The 18,528-nt window shown below is 47.7% G+C and overlaps 1 pseudogene, besides 2 other annotated features; it reads right to left on the bottom strand.

Moving 5' to 3' along the window:
* Positions 148-769: an enhancer, noted in NCBI's record as "H3K4me1 hESC enhancer chr17:21414933-21415554 (GRCh37/hg19 assembly coordinates)". NCBI's record gives its function as "activates a minimal SCP1, AML or CMV promoter by ChIP-STARR-seq in naive H9 embryonic stem cells {active_cell/tissue: H9 hESC(naive)}" and the evidence as "EXISTENCE:reporter gene assay evidence [ECO:0000049][PMID:30033119]".
* Positions 6,456-7,393: an enhancer, noted in NCBI's record as "H3K4me1 hESC enhancer chr17:21408312-21409246 (GRCh37/hg19 assembly coordinates)". NCBI's record gives its function as "activates a minimal SCP1, AML or CMV promoter by ChIP-STARR-seq in primed H9 embryonic stem cells {active_cell/tissue: H9 hESC(primed)}" and the evidence as "EXISTENCE:reporter gene assay evidence [ECO:0000049][PMID:30033119]".
* RPL21P120 (ribosomal protein L21 pseudogene 120) lies at positions 7,285-7,861 on the bottom strand (annotated as a pseudogene).

Here is an 18,528-nt window from a genome sequence, read left to right as displayed (position 1 = left end):
CCCCGGTGGGGAGGGTGGGGCCCCAAAGTCCAACCACAAGATCCCATTATGCGGGCCACGGCTAAATCCACTGCGCCTTCCCCGTTTTTCTCGTACTGCCCAAGCCAGTCTCCACCTCCAAAACAAGACTCAGAAAAAGGTGTGAAGCTCAAGTCGGATGACCATGACCCACGCGTGGCCACGGACGGGCCCATGCTACCCTTCGCAGTCCTCCTGGAACAGCCGGGCCGGTCCTCACCTCCGGGTCGGGGCTTGGAGATAATGGGTGTAATGGAAGGCCTGAGGACCGGGCCCCACGCCAGTCAGCGTCCGGGCGGGATACCCCATCCCCCGTTCACACTCTCGGAAGGCCCAGCGATTCCCGCGTGTACTAATTGACCCGCTCAGGCCACAGCACTCCGAGCTCAAGAGCGCGCCTACAACGCTGACCCTCAGGTTTAATCTCCGACGAAAGGACGAAGAGTACACCCAGCAAAGCCGGGCTCATCCTGCCAGCGCTGCCAGTCCCCTGGAACTCTGCACCGCGCCCTGTGGCCAAATCCCCTTTCTTGCCGGCTTCGCCAGAGCGCCGGAGAGAAAACCTTAACAGTGCAGCCAGGTGGCGCCCGACAGCCGGCGCCAGCGGCCGCGGATCGGATCCGCATCTCCGGCGGGCGAGGCCTCTCCTAGTCCCTGACCAACTGGGATCGCGTTTCTCGGCCTGGGGCGGGTGAAGGAGCTCCCAGTTGGCACCGCCTGGAATGGCGCGACCCCGCAGCCGAAGGAGACTTGAAAATTTTTCCTAACTACCGTTCTGCTCCGAGTGACTGCTACCTGCGAGGACAGACAGCCCACGCGGCTCCGGGCCGGGCGATCTTCCGCGGGAACCGGGAACGTTTCCGAAGACCCCCGCAGGCCGGCGCCCTGCCTCGGCTTCCCAGCGCAGCGGGGTCCCGGGCTCCTCGCGGATTAGAAAGTTTTGCTGGGCTCTGGCGGCGGGAGAGACAGTGAAGTTGAAACCGTGAAAGGGAGAACATGGGTGAATCGCTTTTATTCTGTCTTTTCGGAATGGGGAAGCCTTTCTAAAGCATTAAATAAACCCAGAAGCCATCAAGGAAATGATTGATCGGCTTGACAACATAAAGTTTGAACAAAATACACAAGCAAAGTCAAAAGATAACAAATGAGTGTGGGGATCGCTTATGCATAAGATAAGAATATTGATTTCATTCACAGTAGCCAAGATACGGAAGCAACCTAGCCAAGATATGGAAGCATCTACTAGTGGCTGAACGGATAAAGAAAATGTGGTGTATGTACACCACGGGGTACTGTCCCGCCTTTGAATAAAAGGAAATCCTGCCATTGGCGACAACATGGATGAACGTGGAGGTCATTGTACTAAGAAAAGTAAGCCAGGCACAGAAACAAATACCACCTGGTCTCTCCTGTATGTGGAATCTGAAAATAGTTGAACTCATAGAAACGGAGAGTAGAACGGTGGCTACTTGAGGCCGGGGGAAGGGCAGGAGGGGGAAGATGTTAGTCAAAGGGTACAAGGATTCAGTTAGACAAGAGGAATATGTTTTAGTGATCCACATGGCACGGTGACTGTAGTTAATGCATTTTATATGTCAAAATTCCTTAAATAGTAGATTTTAAATAATCTCACCACAAAAAAATAGATGTGTTGGTGATGGATATCTTAATTAGCTTAAAGTAATTGTTCCACCAATGTATACATATATCAAAACATCACATTGTATCCCATGAATATATACAATTATGATTTGTCAATTAAAAATAAACTTTAAAAAATCTTTTAAAAATATTTCAGCATTATTTACTATAATAACAAAAAAAACTGGGGTGGGGGATAATAGCCATTGATTAAGAGGGGTCGGGTTAAATAAACTCCAGTACATCCACACCGTACACTGTGTGAATTTGTTTTGTTTTAGATGAGATAAATGTTGATGATGAAATGTTAAATGAAGAATTTAAAACAAGTATTAAGTTACCCCTATTTCAACACGTTAAATAGCTAGTAAAGACAGTGTGGTATGGACAGAGGGAGATGATCTACAGAACAGAAAAGAGACCAAAACAAATGCACCCAGCTGGTGTTTGACAAGCATGCAAAAGCACCTTGTGGGAGGAAAGGTAGCCTTTCCATCAAATGGGAGTAGGGCAATTGCACATCACAGGCACAGCAAACAAGCACGCAAAACAAAACCCTTGACCTAGACACTGTCAACTTTAGAATCCCAGGCCCCCACCAAATGAATGGACCCCCTCTTGGCCAAGGGGACCTCAGGAAAATCTTAAAAGTTTAGTTCTAGTCATGATGGGGTGGGAGGTCAAACACGCCTCATTATACCCCCTGCCTTTTGGGGTTTAGACCAGCATTAATGTTAACACAGAGATCAGAAGACTGACAGAACAGACTCTGTGGCAATAAAATGCCAAATTATAAACAGGACCTAAGGCCATGCCAGGCAAGGGTTAAGTCATTAACCCTATGCTTAAAGAATAAACTGTGTTCTAAGGACCACAAGGCTTTTCTTTTTCTCTAGCAGCTAAACAACCACTGGCCTCAAGATAGACAAGAGTAAAACAATTTCCAGCTCCACCACCCACTGACTTACTAAACCCCTGCTCTACCAGCCATAACTTCCTGATAAGACCACCAACCATGGATTGTCTTTGGCTGGTTTACAGAGGCTGCACACTTGTGTGACTTCATGCCCTGAAAAGACCTGTTGACATATAGGACCTAACTGTAATACATTTAAATGTTAAGTCTCCACCCCAAAGTGAACATGGGTCATATGCTACATGCATGTCTGTTCAATATGCATGTGTCAGGACCACCTTCATGAATATTCATAGCACCTCCTATAACCTGTTGAATATGTATGTTTAGCCTATCTGCCCAGCATAAAGCTGCTACCCTAACCCCTCCTCCTTCGAAGTGCCTGTTTCTGGTCCCTTGGCTGGGATGGCCACCTTGAAGGCTGTAATCCTTATGAGAAATAAAGTCTCCTCACCTTTCTTAATGGATAAATTGTGGGGGTTCTACCCTCACACCTCATACAAACATTAACTCCAAATGGATCACACATTTCAATGTAAAATGTAAAACTATAAAATTTTAGGAAAAAAAATTCTTAGAGAAAATTGGGATCTAGGCTAAAAAAGGAGATTTTATACTTGACATCAAAAGCATGATTCATAAAGAGAGATGGGTAAATTGGAAGTCATCAAAATTAAAACCCCAGGCTCTGTGAAAGGTCCTCTTTTTTTTTTTTTTTTTCGAGATGGAGTCTGGCTCTGTCGCCCAGGCTGGAGTGCAGTGATGAAATCTCGGCTCAGTGCAACCTCCTCCTGCTGGGTTCAAGCGATTCTCCTGCCTCAGCCTCCCAAGTAGTTGGGACTACAGGTGCGCACCACCACTCCCAGCTAATTTTTGTATTTTTGGTATAGACGGGGTTTCACCATATTGGTCAGGCTGGTCTTGAACTCCTGACCTCGTGATCTGCCTGCCTTGGCCTCCCAAAGTGCTGGGATTACAGGCGTGAGCCACCACACTCAGCTGAAAGGTCCTTTTAAGAGAAGGAAAACAAATTATAGATCAGAAGAATATATTTACAAACCATATATTCTACAGGAATGTGTAAAAAAAAAAACCTCAAAGTGCAACGGTATTTTTCTTCAAAATCCAATTACAAAATTGATGAAAGACATGTTAAAGTATGCCCCCTGCAGAAAGAAAAAATGACTCCCAGGAGACTAACTGAGGTGCTCAAAGTTAAAATGGAACCAGGGAGCCGTAGCTGGGTGACAGAGCCTTCATGTACTCTGTGTTCTCAGAAAGATGTTGTAAAAGTATCACAAGACCTCCCTTCCACAACCAAACCAAACCAGTTCCTGTTGTCAGTGCCAAGATAACTGTATCCTGAGCACCACTTCCCTGGACCCCTGACAGCCATTTATAAGAAATTTCTGACAGTCTTCTGCTTAAGGCTTAAAGAACAAGTCAGAACTCCCCTGCCCTGGCCAATCAGGACTCAACTGCATCAATCAGGGTTCACCTGTATTGACTAATCAGGATTCAGCTACATCCACCGATCAGGACAGCACAAGTTTCAGTCCTTCATTTACATAAATGAAAGTAGTTGGAAACCTGGACAGAAACTTTTACCATAGAACCCAAACCCTTTCTTAGTTTTCTAGAACTTACTTTCCTTTTACACTGAAGGCTGCAACTTCCCCATTTACAAACTGTTCACTGAAATAAAGTCACTTTCCACATTCCTTTTCAGAAAACTTAGTTCACAGACATGAACTAGCATTTCACTGAGCAGGATGTACAGATGGCAAGTCGGCACATGAGAAGACGTTAGCCTTTTGTGGGAGTGTAAATTAAAATGACAGTGAGACGTCATGACACATCCATCAAATGCCTTCAACAAAATATAGGAACAGCATCAAATGCGGGTGAGGCTGTGAAGGAACAGGCTTTCTCACACATTGCTGGTGGTAAGGTAATATTGTACTGCCACTCTGGAAAACAGTGTGGCAGTTTCAAAAAAGAAAACAGCAACAACAAAAACGTGCAAGTGAAGCGTGGCAGAATATGCCACCCCAAAATATGCCACTTTAGCATAAGGGTTATTTTAAGCTAAAGGCACTTGAAAAACAGCAGACACAAGGAAGATGCCCTGACCTCCCCTTTTTCTTCCTGAAAGTAGGAGGTGAATCTCCCATGGGAAAGGCGCCCTCCCTGTACCAGGAGGAAGGAAGCCATTCTTACCATCAGAGGCAGGGAGTTGGGGCCGAGGGGAATCTGTATGAACAAATCTCGTTAAACTAACCCTCATCTGCCTCGTCACTTCTCCACAGTGAACTGCCCTATCCCAGACCCCATTGTCTTGCACGTTTTCACAGCTTACTCTTTGTCCAACCTAGTATATAAGCGTTCAGGCCTAACTGCTTCTTCGGATCTCTTTTTCCTACAGGGTTCCACTTACATGTGCAAATCTGTGTGCTTTTCTCCTGTTAATGTGTTTTATGTCCACTTACCTCTTAGGCCCAGCCAGAGAGGTAAAGTTTAGGCCCAGCCAGAGAGGTAAAGTAGAGGTAAAGTTTTGCTTCCCCTGCCTAAGGACCATGTAACCCAGCAACCAAACCCCTGGGCATTCGCCCCAGAGACACGGGAACTTGCTGTGAGTGAAGGGTTGATTCAGCACCTCTGGGGCCGAGGACTCCCCCTGACCTCTGACCCTGGGCTACAGCAGGAATTAGAATATTTCCTAGCCTGAAACTCCTCCTTCCTCACCTTCAGTCAACCAGACACCCTTTATGGATGGGAAAATCTCATTCAGTGTTTTTATAACAATAACAAATAATAATGGTAATCATTACAATAATGATGAACAACAGCAACAATAACTATTATTATTGTTAACCTCGGAGGATGAAAGGGTAGAGTACAGACCTCCGCACGTGCTCCTGGAGAATGACCACCTACTCCTGCTGGGTCCCAGGGTGGGCTGCAGTCAGAGACCCAGGTTTGCACATGCAACACGCTCTGTGAAGGCAAGGGGCGAGCAGCAGGAGGAAAGGGAAATTGCCCTAAGACAGTGTGGCAGACCAGTGAGGACCGTGGGAAGGGAAATGGGGGAGGGGCGCGCAGGGAGAGGGACCCAGGTCGGGCACCCGCTGCCTGGTCAGTGAGCTGCCAAAGCTTCCTCCACAAGTGCTGGACTCCTTGTCCATGCCTGCCTACCCGGCCCCCGGCCAGCAAACTGCGGGCACCAGCTCACGGTGCACAGAAGTATGCACTCCAGATGAATCGCACACCTCGATGTTAAATGTAAAAGAGAAAACTTCAGTAGAGAATGCTAAGTGTTTGTGTCCCCTGGAGAAATGTTCTTCAGTGTGGCACAGCAGAAACCCAGGTGGTCGGCAGCCCGGTCTGGTGTGGTGCCAGGGAAGAGCGCTGACCTGGAGTTCTGCCTGCTGTGATCTACCGCGGCGGCCTCTGCATCTGCAGGGTAAGGCCTTCAGGTTTAGCACCGCAAATCCAGGCACTTGGAGTCTGTTGGGCCAGTATCGCTGCTCAGGTGCAGATGGGCCGGTGGACTTCGCCCGAATTGTAGCTGCCAGCCTTCGTGAGAAATGGGGGCGCTGCTGGGACCGGCCGGCCGGCTGGGGCCTCGGGTGCACCATTTCTGCTTAAACTCATGTCCCCCAGGCACTTGGGGCCCCCAACCCCCAAAGCGACCACGAGGTGCTGGGCCTCCCTCTGGCTAGGGGGAGCAAGGAGATGGCGAGTGTGGCAGCCAGGACTGGGCCTCAGCGCTCCCAGGGGGTGGGGGTGTGACGGGTGGCATCACGACAGGTCCACGGGGAAGGTTTGTAGGACTGGGGCTGGGGGCTAGCCTTGAGTCCTGAGCCACCCACCAGTGGCAAACTGCAGTTTTGCAGAGTTTGACCCTCCAGCACCTCTCTAAGGCAGCTAGGCTGGGACAGGACTGGCAACAGCAGCACCAATGCCTGTGTGTCCTGAGCAGGGGGTGCTGCACTCACAGGCTCCAACCAGCAACGTCATTAACGTTTTTCTCCACTGCGAGGATCATGCAAACCCTACCAGTTTCATTCCAATGTTTTTTGAAAAACATACTTGAACACAGAGCTGGGAGTTTTGACAGGTAGGCTTTAGGAGCTTTGTCACCACTGCCAGGACACAGGGATCTCCCAGCAAGGTGCTCAGGGACCTGTGGGGCCCGGAGGCCAGGGGGCTGGGAGCGCCTGGAGTGGCCGGCAGGGAGGCCTCAGAGCCATGCCTCCTCCTCCCCTAGTCACCCCAGCAGACCTTCCCCTGAGAAGCAGCAGACCAGGGAGGGGGCATCTGTCATTCTCTGCCTGTCACTTTCTTCTCCACTCCACCACCTATGCATTTAACACAGAAAGTGCATGAGGCCACGCCGTCTGCAGTCAGCCACTGCCACTGCTCCATCCAAGGACTCTGCACCAAAGGCCAGCAGGACGCCCTGGGCTTCCTGCAGGGGCTAAGCCGTGCACGGGTCCTGGTGAAGTCAGGGCCCCAAGGCAGTGAGAAAGGTTCAGCCTGGAGGCTGTGGTTAGAGATAGGTCCTCGAGGGTCCCTTTAAGGTCTCAACGCTAGGATCCCGTGGGGTCCCGTTGCTGTGGTTCAAATTTCTCAGTCTCCCTTGATTTTGCTGGTTTTGCCTCTTTACAGATTATTTCCTTTTGGATTTTCTCTACTTTTTTTTTTACAGCCCAGAGGCCTTTTTTTTTTTTTTTAACACCTATTATGCCGTGAATTCATAGGGAAGAGGTTCCAGCAGCTCAGGTTCCTTCCCATTGGTTCTACATTGGTTCTCCCATTGGTTCTCCCATTGCTTCTCTGGGTGGAGCAGGCTGGCGCTTTAGTTGAACCCAGGTACCTTTCTCTTTGGCTTCTTTCTTTTTCTGATCATTTTCCTTCACATGTTTCAGGAAGCTATCTCGGCTCTCAGAGTGCTTAATGTGCTCAATACGCACCTTAATTCTCTTGGCAAGAATCTTGCCCTTAACTTGTTTGTTTACAACAATGCCAACAGCATGCTGGGTAACATTGTAGACTCTTCCAGTTTTGCCATGGTAACACTTGTGGAGCATTCCTTTTTGAACAGTACCCATTCCCTTGATGTCTACAATATCACCTTTCTTATAGATTCGCATATACGTGGCCAAAGGAACAACTCCATGTTTTCTAAAAGGCCTAGAGAACATATATCGGGTGCCTCTCCTCTTTCCCTTTGTGTTCGTCACTTTGGCGAATTACTGGAAGATGGCGATTCTGGCCGAAAGGTGGGTTTTCTGTCCTTATAAAGAACTTTTTGTTGTGATTATTTCAGACACTGCCTGAGGATTGAGATTTTACGGTTTTCAAGAGTTATGGTTTTCAATACATCTTTATGTTCTCTCGTCCTATTCTCCTAGAAGTTGGCTCTGTGCTGTTAGCTGCCTCCACACATGTGCCCTTCATTTGTTAGGACTCGAGCGTCACATCTGAAATGGGGGCTAGCAAGGTAGATCTGCAAGACCCATCCCTTGGTTGAAGTAGCAAGCCCTGGAGTGGCCCAGCAGGTGCTGATAAGCTGACCTGTGAGAGACTGAATATACAATGACAGTGGCGAGACTACACACAAAAATCAAACTCTGAGCCATAATCTGCAGCAACCAGCCCCAAAGCCAGCCTGGGATCTGCAGCAACAGCCCAGGAAGCCAGCCCACTAGAAGTCAGACCTGCAGGAAGCCAGCCCGCTATCTCCAGTCAATCCAGGGAGTCTAACACCGCCCTGTAACAACCAGCCCAAAACAGCCAGAACTTGACTAATAACAGCTTCCCTAATTTTTGTCCCAGCTTCCAACTTAGAACCAACCAGAAAATCTGCTGCCCTAACTGACCACACAGGAGGCCCCGTTTCTGGTCGGCCACCCCAGCTTCCCCAAGCCAACAGCCTCCACTCGGAGTGCACCTGGAGCCTCCTCTTTTTCCACTGTGAACTTTTCCCATCCTCTGTCTGCCTGGAAATTTCTACCAAAATGCAACTGGCGATGGCTGACTCCCTTGCTGGGGCCTTTGCGTCTCTCATTTGAGTGGTCTTTGTTTATCCCCATGCTGCTTCCCATGCTACTACGGATGGGCATTTCCTGCCCATCCACGAAGATTTCACGTGCGTGCCTGGGGTGGCAGCATGCCCAGGTGCATTTCTCCTGCCTCCTCCTTCTCTCTTTATCCCGCAGTCTTCCCCCTCACCCAGCTAGCCACAGGTGTCCACATGGAGCACAGTCTGAGGAGAGAGCAGGGTCAAACACAGCCCGGTTCTAGGCGGAGCTGGGTGGTGTTTGACAGGTGCCAGGTGCTCCCCCAAATGGATCTTTACATCATAAAAATGATTTTGTGCTTGAGGATGTTGCTTCAGATCCACCAAGCATAAAGTCACCACCTGAAATTAGAAAGAAAACATCCAATAAAGAGACCTTCTTCACTCCAGCATCCCTCTCCCTATGTGCCTTCTGAAGCTCCTGCAGCAGGCCTGCAGATGGGTTCAGAAACTGTTTCCAAGAGGAGCACCACACAGCTCTAACACACACACACACAAACACACACACACACACACACACACGGAGTCAACATGAGGGTAAGAATGAGGAGAGTGATGGCATGTGGTGTCTGAGAGAATTTAGTCTCGAGGATTAAGGGAAGGCTCCCCAGGTGAGTGGGAAAGGTGAGCAGTGTTCAGTCTCTCAGAGGCGTGGATGGAAGTGTCGTCCAGGCAGAAGACAAATGCACGAGGCTTGAAGCCGGAGCAAACAGATTCCATATGCAGGAGCGCAAATGGCAGGTGCTTCTATGGCAAATCCAAGAGTGAGGCAGGAAGGGTCAGGGCCTGGCATGCCAGGCCAGTGACTTCGTGGAACTAGCAAACCAAGCTAGGCAAAGTGTGGCATGTTACTTCCTTATAATATTTTTAATTAGAATAGTAATATTTTCTCTTTAATGCAAAAAATCAATAAATTCTTAAATAATACCTAGCCCAAGGCCCACTATCCAGAGACATTCATGCTGCTAGAATTTTTAATGTATCCTTCAAGAAATATTTTCTATATAAACAGAAGGCTGAGATGTATATGCCATTTTTTGTGGTCTCTTCCACCAAAACTTCCTCAAATGTATTAAGAGCACAACTCTTGAAAACATGTTCACACAGAAACGTGCACACAAATGTTCTTAGCAGCATCATTCATTATAGCCAAGAAGAGGAAACAACCCAAATATTCACCGACTGATGAGTGAATAAACAACACGTGCTCCATCCACACAATGCGACATTCACACGTGAGAAATGCCACACCATGGTGAACGCCAGAAACAGCACGTTCAGTGAAAGAAGCCGGTCATAAATGACCCCATTCATGGAAATGTCCAGAATAGGCAAATTCGTAGAAATAGAAAGTAGATGAGCAGTTGCTTAGGTCTGGAAGGGATGGGGAGCATCCTTTCAGGATGCTGAAAATGTTCTGCAATTGACTGGATAATGGCTTCACGGCTCTGTGAATATGCTACCAACCGCTGAATTGTACACTTCAGTGGTGAATTGTTTGAAATGCAAATGACGTCTCACTAAAGCTCTTATTAAGAAATACATGAGTTGATGGCACATAGCTACCAGGATTATGAGGGTGACATCGCAGGGAAGGGGCTGTGTGTGTGGAGGGGCCAGCACTGCACAGGACGTCAGCCATTGAAGGGTCCTCTGATGTAAAAATAGGAATTGTGACCTGAGTAATTAATGAGACACTGGCTGTCCTGAATGTGCAGCTAGTAAAAAAGTTGTGTAGCAGGAAGAAGCTTGGTTTTTCCATAACGGGATTTTGGCTGCTGCATAAGAGAATTGGCTGGAAGAAGCACCATTCGCAAGCGCTTACTGTCAAGAAGTAAGAAGCACAAAGCACTTACCATCAAGTAAGAGGGACAGGACTCCCAGTAAGGGGGTAGCAGAGAGATGGCGGCAAGTGGACAGATGCATGATACACTTGGGAGGCGACACTGACAGAACATGTCTCTGCGGATGTGCAAGAAGAATTAGGTAAAAGCATAGGTCATATCAGGGTATGTCAAAAACAGTGACAGGAGCAAATAGATAATCTAAATTGAGGAACGCTGATTTAAGAATTCTCAGACATGGATTATTGATGGAAAAGCCAAACTCTGTAAAATATTTGAAAAAGGTTTACTATGAGTGAATGAGTGACAGTGGCCTGGGGAAACAGTCTTGAAGGGCCTGAGGAAGCACTCCCGAGGCACTCGGGTTAGTTTGGTTGTACATATTTTGAGGAGGAAAGAGTTCTAGGCAAAGACATAAGTCAACACATGGAAGATGTACATTGGTGTGACCTGAATATGTGGGACATCTTGAAGCAGGGGTTTACAGATTATAGATGGATTCAGAGATTCTCTAATTTGCAGTTGGTTAAAGGAGTAAGCTCTGTCTAAAATTTGATGTCAGCGGAAAGGCATGTTTTAAGTTAAGGATGCTATGTAGCAAGGTTGATGGCCTGCAGGCCTGACTAAACCCTCACCTGGCATGGCCTTAGGTCTTCTTTATAATTTGGTCTTTTATTGACACAGAATCTGTCTTGTCAGTCTTAGGATCTCTAATGTTAATGCTGGACAGTTGCACCTAAACTCCAAAAGGGAAGGAGTGTAACAAGGCTTGGGATTCCCTTGGCCAAGAGGGGGTCTGTTCAGTCAGTGGGGGTGGCTTAGGATTTTATTTTTAGTTTATAGGATGGATCAGATTGTTTTTCTTTTGTCATTACAAATAAGGCTGAGGCCAAGCATAGTGGCTTACGCCTGTAATCTCAACACTTTGAGGGTTGAGGTGGGAGAGGCATGTGAGCCCAGGAATTCAAGACCAGCCTGGGCAATACAGGGGGACCTCGTCGCTACAAAGAATAAAAAAATAAAAATTAGCTAGGCATAGGAGCCTACTCATGTGGTCCCAGCTGCTCAGAAGGCTGAGGCAGGAGAACCACTGGAGCCCAAGATTTCAAGGCTGCAGAGAGCCGTTGTTGTGCCACTGCACTCCAGCCTAGGCAACAGAGTGAGACTGTGTCTCAAAAAATAAATAAATAAATAGACAAATAAATAAGGCTGAAATGAACAGCCTCATCCATATCTTTTCATGAACACTCACCAACTTTTCCTTCCAAATAGCTTTCTAAAGCTTTCGAATAGCTTATTTTTAAGTCATGCAATGACTTAACAAATTGCATGTTAGAAAGCCTGTTACGAATTTAAACTCCTGTGCTATTTTGAGATAGATATTTTGTCTTCATCCCCGTCCCCATTTCCTGGCAAAAAGCTCCTAAAACCCTTGGAATCTCCAGAGTACTAAGAGTGTCATTTGTGTGCTAATGAAATGACTGGTGGCTGGGGACCCTGGAGAGCTTCAGGATGGGGGCTGGCCACCAGAAAGACAGAGGCGGGATTAGGGAGTTGGGACTTTTAGCCCCACCTGCCAACCTCTGGGGAGACGAGAGGGACTGAAGGTTGAGCTGATCACCAATTGCCAGTGATGTGGTTGATGATGCCTCTGTAATGCCGCTTCAGTGAAAACCCACAAGGACAGGGTTTGGAGAGCTCCCAGATAGCTGAATACGTGGAGTCTGGAGGGTGGTGTGTCTGGAGCTGGTGTGGGAGCTCTGAGCCCCTTCCCAGATGCCTCACCCTGCGCACCTCTTCCATCTGCCTCTTCATTTTCATCCTTTGAAATATCCCTTGTAATAAATGAAGAAGTGTAAGTAAAGTGTTTCCCTGATCTCTGTGAGCCACTGTAGCAAATTAATCAAACCCGAGGAGGGGATGCTGGGAATCCTGATTTGCAGCCAGTTGGGCAGGAGCACAGGTCACAACCTACTACTTGTGACTGGCATCTGAAGCAGGGACAGTCTGGTGGGACTGAGCCCTTAACCTGTGAGGTCTGACACTGTCCAGGTAGAGAGTTTCAGAATGGAATTGAATTAGGAGACACCCAGCTGTTATCTGCTGAAGGAATGGTTGGTGCGGAGAAATCTCTACACTTTTTAGTGACCAGTGATCAGAGAAATACAATTATCCTTTGGTATCTTCAAAGGGATTGGTCCCAAAACTCCTCCTCTGGAAGGGTTTTGGTGATTTGGACACCAAAATTACCGGATGCTCAAGTCCCTTATATATGAAAGTATAGTATTTGCATATAACCTACACATATCCTCCACATGCTTTAAATCAGGGGTGTCCAATCTTTTGGTTTTCCTGGGCCACAATGGAAGAAGAATTGTCTTGGGCCATACATAAAATACACTAACACTAACGATAGCTGATGAGCTTTAAAAAATCGCAAAAAAAAAAATCATAATGTTTTAAGAAAGTTTACAAATTTGTGTTGGAGGGTAGGCCACAGGTTGGACAAGATTGCTTTAAATCACCTCTAGATTACTTATATCTAATACAATGTAAATGCTATGTAAATAGTTGTTATATTGTATTGTTCAGAGAATAATGGCAAGAAAAAATCTGTACATTTAGTACAGACACAATCATTCTTTTTTTTCAAATGTTTTTGAATCGAGGTTGGCTGAATCCATGGATGCAGAACCCGTGGATATGAAGGAGAGACTGTATTCTGTGTGGAATTTATGCTGAATGGAGTGGCAGAACATACATATTCAATAAACTATAGGAGGAGCAATGAATATTTATGAAAGGAGAAATGTGAATGTGCCATTGAGTTTCATGCCTCTTCATGGGTCACGTGTTCATGCGAGGGTGTAGTTTTTAGCCTCTGACATCAAAAGGTGAAGCAGGGGCCACAAACCACTCACTGTGCATCCTCTGTGAGCCAGCCAAAACTGGTCCAGAGGCGGTGGTCCATTTTAGGAAGGATGCACTGTGAAGCTGGTGACTGTCACTCCAAAACTGCAAAGAGGTAGGGTGAGTCCAGCCACGGCCTCAGATGATTGGCTACAGATGATAAAGGAATGAGTCCTGTGTTTCTTGTTTGCCAGAGCTGGTTTCTGCTTACTCCTTAGGAAAGAGTTCTGGCTAAAGGTTAATATGGAAGGGACATGGTGAAGTGTATCTGACCTCCCATCCCATCATGGCCAGGAGCTCAGTTTTTAAGGTTTCTCTGGGGCCCTTTGGCCAAGAGAGGGTTCTATCAGTCAACTGGGGGAACTTAAGATTTAATTTTTATTCCTCGGGTCAATGTAGTAGACCTTGCAACTTTAAAATAAGCATTATCAGGTCTAAGAACTCAGTGTGTGAGCACCGCTCAAGCATCACAGCCTGCTGCCAAGATGCTAAATGTTGTAAGAAAATTAATAACTTAAGGTAAAAACTGACCTCCATGAAGATGAAAAGCCTGAAGACACTGTAACTCTAGAGAAAGGAGCATGTGTCCCTGTTGCAGGGACGGCAGCGTCCATTTCAGGGCACACTGCAGGCATGCCAGAGTTTTTCAGGAGTCTGCCAGGTGTCCTGTCCTGTCACTTGAGACTCCAGCCCAGGGACAGACAGAAAACCGGAAGACAGCACCTCCTGGCCAGGATCCCAGCATCTATTTGAGGGAGACAAGATGAGAAGGAACATTGTTGTAGCAAAAATAATAGGTTCTCCACTTCCCTACACAGGAGGAAATTCCCATACCTTGATAGGAGGCAGTTCCCCTTCCTGCCCACCTTGGCACAGGCAGTCACACTGCCCACCTGTATGTTGAGGGATGGTGCAAGAGGGCAGCACTGTCTGAGTTGGGACATCCACAAGCCCCTGCTCCTGCCCACCCTTGGCTTTAGTGCTGGTCCCTCTTGGCCCTGGCCTGAGGTCCTCCACCCTTCTTCAGTTCTCCCTCTCAGGCCTCCATCATCTCACAGCTTTTCTTCCAATCTCTCCTCTTTTTTCTTTTTGATGATGTTTCAAAAGAGTCAGCACTTTGGAAGACAACTGTAGACTTGCTTTCAAATGCAGAGTGTCAGAGAGCCATGGTCTGCCCGCAGGTGGCCTGCAGCTGGGCAGAGCTGTGCCTCTGATGGCCAAGGGGGAGGTCACAGTTGCTGCTTCTGTCCTCCTCAATGCTCCTGTGACACAATTAGAACAAAGCCTTACTGCCGTGACAAAGAAGAGGCAAACTCATGCTGGTGGGTGTCTTGTCCAGAGTATGTCAGCCACCCCGTGAGTTGGCAGAGCCAATGGGCAGACACACAGGATGAGGTTACAGGAAGATGTTCTCCTGCAGCAGATCTGAGGAGACAGAGACCCCAGCAGTTGGCCCGAGAAGCTCCCACCTGCACCTCCAGCATCAACAGGCAGACAGAGCACTCCTGTGAGAGGGGACAAGGCAAGTCTGGGGGCCTTGGAAGACTGCAGGAAGAGCTGTGGAGGGTGTGAAGCAGGTTCACTAACGACCAGTCCAAGGGAGGCCTCCCACTGCATGGAGAGCTGCAGAGATCATCACTGCTCCTCCCACAAGGAATATTTGGCCTGGAATATTTGCTACTTTACACAGTATGAATCTCCCAGTTACCTGTTGGTGTGCTTTTAACTAACATGAGAAGCAGGGACTGGGTTGTTTGTTGAGTATTATGTCTTGATATTTTTTAGTTCAATTGTACGTGTTAGTAACAAGGGTAGGGGTGGAGGGTGTCCTCATGCATGGCTGCTATAAAGGTCACAAGCAATCAAAAATAGAAATAATTATTTCCATTAGTTGGGATATTATTGTAGGATGAAGGTGGAGGATGTATGCTCTGAACATGAAAAAGAGGGCTTGGATCACAGCTCTGCCTTCTGATGTTTTGTTTGTTTGTTTGGAGCTGGTGCTTGATCCTATAGGTAGAAAACAGACTTAGTGAAGTTAAGTGATTGTCCAAAATCATGCTGCTTCTTACCAGTTGGCTAGAATTCAAACCCGAGCTGACTTGAATAAGAGCCCAAATTTACACTGGTTATGTGGGAGAGGGGTTGCTTTTGTTTATTTCTCATTACTGTGAAAAGACATCTTATACTCAGTAGGGGATATAGAGTCTATTTTTATACTCTAAAAATTATAATGAAATGGACATGCATGTACCTTCACCCACTGGAGATATGCACCGGTCCACCTGCCTCTGTAGCTCTGATTTCACACTCCAGCCGCTACACTCACGTCAGCGGTGCATAGAAGAACTTCAGTTATTTCTCGTGTGAGAGTTCACCTTTTGCAAAGGCTGACAGGAAGTGGATGACAAAGAACTGAGTTTTATGTAAAAGAGAGGGAGAGGTAATTGATGGATCAAGGCTGAGCGCACCACAGGGAGGAAGGATGGAGGGCACGGGTGGAGGGGAAGGTCACCATGGCAGAGACGGGGACATCTCAGATGAGATGCCCAGAGGTGTAAGAACTCTGATAGGAAGCTGTGTGTGAGCCACATGCCTCTGCAGGCTGCAGCCCAGTTTGGATCTTACTGGTCTACGTATCAAGATATGGAGTGAGCTTACCCTCTCCAGGCTGCAATTCCTGTGAGTTTCTCTCTTCTCCTTGGAATCTGAGTTTGTTGGTTCCAGAGTAGCTTTCCGGCTGGAAATCTGGGGTGAGATGTTACCAGCCAAAGGCTGTTGGAAGGCAAATCAGGATGTTGGGTATGGGCTGGGCTGACTGCAGGACTGGACTGAGCACTGGACCCTCAGGGTATCACCCCTGGGGCAGGGTGGGCTTTGGGAGGAACACAGCCCTGGCAGGTGCCCACCTCTGCCTAGTTTGTGCTGGTTGCTATGGGAGTGAAGGGGCTGCCAAGTGGTAGCTCCAGGTGGGGCTGGCCCTCCAAATTCCAGGCCTATAATTTGTCTGGCACACATAACCCCTCATTTGAGGCTTAATTTGTTTCCCAACCCTTGGGTTTGAGAGATCTTATAAAACTTTTATTTTATTGTCATCATATTGTGACAAGTGAAGTTGTACCCCAACAAAAAATTGAGGATAAACTCCAGTTTGATGAGTTTTTCCTCCTTTTGGTGTGTTGATATCAAGGACCCTGCTAGACATATGGATTAATATCAGGTCTGCTTTTCAGACACTGACTCAGCTGGGAGAAGGGGGACACGGCCCTGGCCCAGCCAGTAGACATAATAGATATGGACCTCAGGCAGCTGCAGGCCCAGGCGCATGGGCACAGAAGTCTGTGGTGCCGGCTGAAGAGGCTGAGACTTGGAGGACAGCCAGATTCCTCCTTGCCTCTGCTTAGGATGCTGCATTCTCTAACCAGGCATGGCTGTTGGTTCTGGCCTCTGCCTGCCTCACAACTCCAGTAAGACCCCTTCCAGATTGTCCACCCGGGAGATCAGTGAGACTGGAGAGAAGGGCGGGTTATCAGAGCTGTGGGTGGAGCTTGCCTTGTAGCAAGCAACCCCAGGCCAAACTAAGCAGGACAAGCAGCACCATTGAGTGTCCCGTCGCGTGACTGGTTTCGTGTGTTGAAGAATCTGCAGCCTGGAAAACAAGTGGCAGAAATCTGAATGGCAGCATGGTCACAGACACTGGCTGTCTGAGTACTTTCAGACTGTTGTGGTACTTTCTCAAGGCTTCTGTTCCCTTACTGGTCCAATTAGAGTTGACACCAGACACACCCTAAGGTCAACTGATCCCTGTCTCTCCTGTGGATTCACTGCTACCTGGAGTCAGGAGAAGGGAGCGGGAAGCAGTCAAATCCTTCAGGGCCTTAGTTCTTGTGGACCAACATGTTAACAAGTGCAGCTGTCCCAAGCTCTTCGTTACTGTGGTAGGCAGAGCAATGCCCCCCAAAAGCTATTCCCATCCCAGGCCATGAAACCAGCGACCATGTTACATATGTGGCAATGGGGATGTGCCCCTGCATTGAGGTGAGGCTCTGGAGAAGATGTCCTGGATTTCACGGGTGGGTCCAAGATGATCACAGTGTTCCTAAAGAGGGAGGCAGGAGGGCCAGGTCATAGAAAGAGAGGTGGGCATGGAAGCAGAGGTTGGAGTGATGTGGCTGTTAGCTAGAGAATGTGGGCAGCTTCTGGAAGCTGAGATGGTGAAGAACAGTCTCCCCAGGAGCCCCCAGAAAGGAGCGCAGCCCTGCAGACAACGTGACTTTAGCCAGATAGACCTATTTGGGATTTCTCGCCTCCAGAAATGTAGCACAGACGTGTGTGGTTTTAAGCCAGTTTGTGGTATTCAGCCATAGCAGCAATGAGAAACAGACATAACTTCCATGTGATTCCTTGACAGGCCACGTGGCTCAGGGCTCCCGACTCCTTCCTGGCTTTGTTTGCTTGACTGCAAGACACAGTGGGGCTAGACACCTGCTGTGGTCTGAGTGTGGCCCCCAAAAGCATGCATTGGAAACTTGGTCCCCAGTGCAACAGCATTAAGAGGTAGGACCTTTTATTTTTTAAAATAAAAAGGTGCCATGAGGAAGAGCCAAAGTAGGTGGAATCTTTAAGACGACGTGATTAGGCCGTGAAAGCTCTAACCTCATGAATGGATTGATGCCCTTATCTCGGGAGTGGGTTAGTTATCATGGCAGTGGGTATCTCTCTCCCTCTCGCTCGCTCGCTCTCTCTCTTCTCTCTCCCCCGCCCCCGACCTTCCACCATGGGATGATGCAACAAGAAAGCCTTCCCTTACCACATGTCAGCATCTTAATACTGGACCTATCAGTCTCAAGAACTGTGAGACATAAATTTCTTTATAAATTACTCCGCCTGTGTGGTACTCTGTTGTAGTAATACAAAATGGACTAAGACAACACATAATGTTTTATAAATAAATTGTATTTGTGGGGTGCTTTTGTCTTTCCAATCTCTCCAACAAAAGACAACTTTGCAGGCCTACTTCTGTTTGCAGGCCCTCTGAAAAGCCATCTCAAAATATGCCAAGAGTATCCTTTTCCTTTTTTTTCCAGTCTTTTTTTCCAGTGCACCAAAGTATA

Source organism: Homo sapiens, chromosome 17, assembly GCF_000001405.40.
Source record: "Homo sapiens chromosome 17, GRCh38.p14 Primary Assembly".
Taxonomy (NCBI): domain Eukaryota; kingdom Metazoa; phylum Chordata; class Mammalia; order Primates; family Hominidae; genus Homo; species Homo sapiens.
Note: the sequence above shows the minus strand (reverse complement) of the source record. Positions and strands in the feature narration are given on the sequence as shown.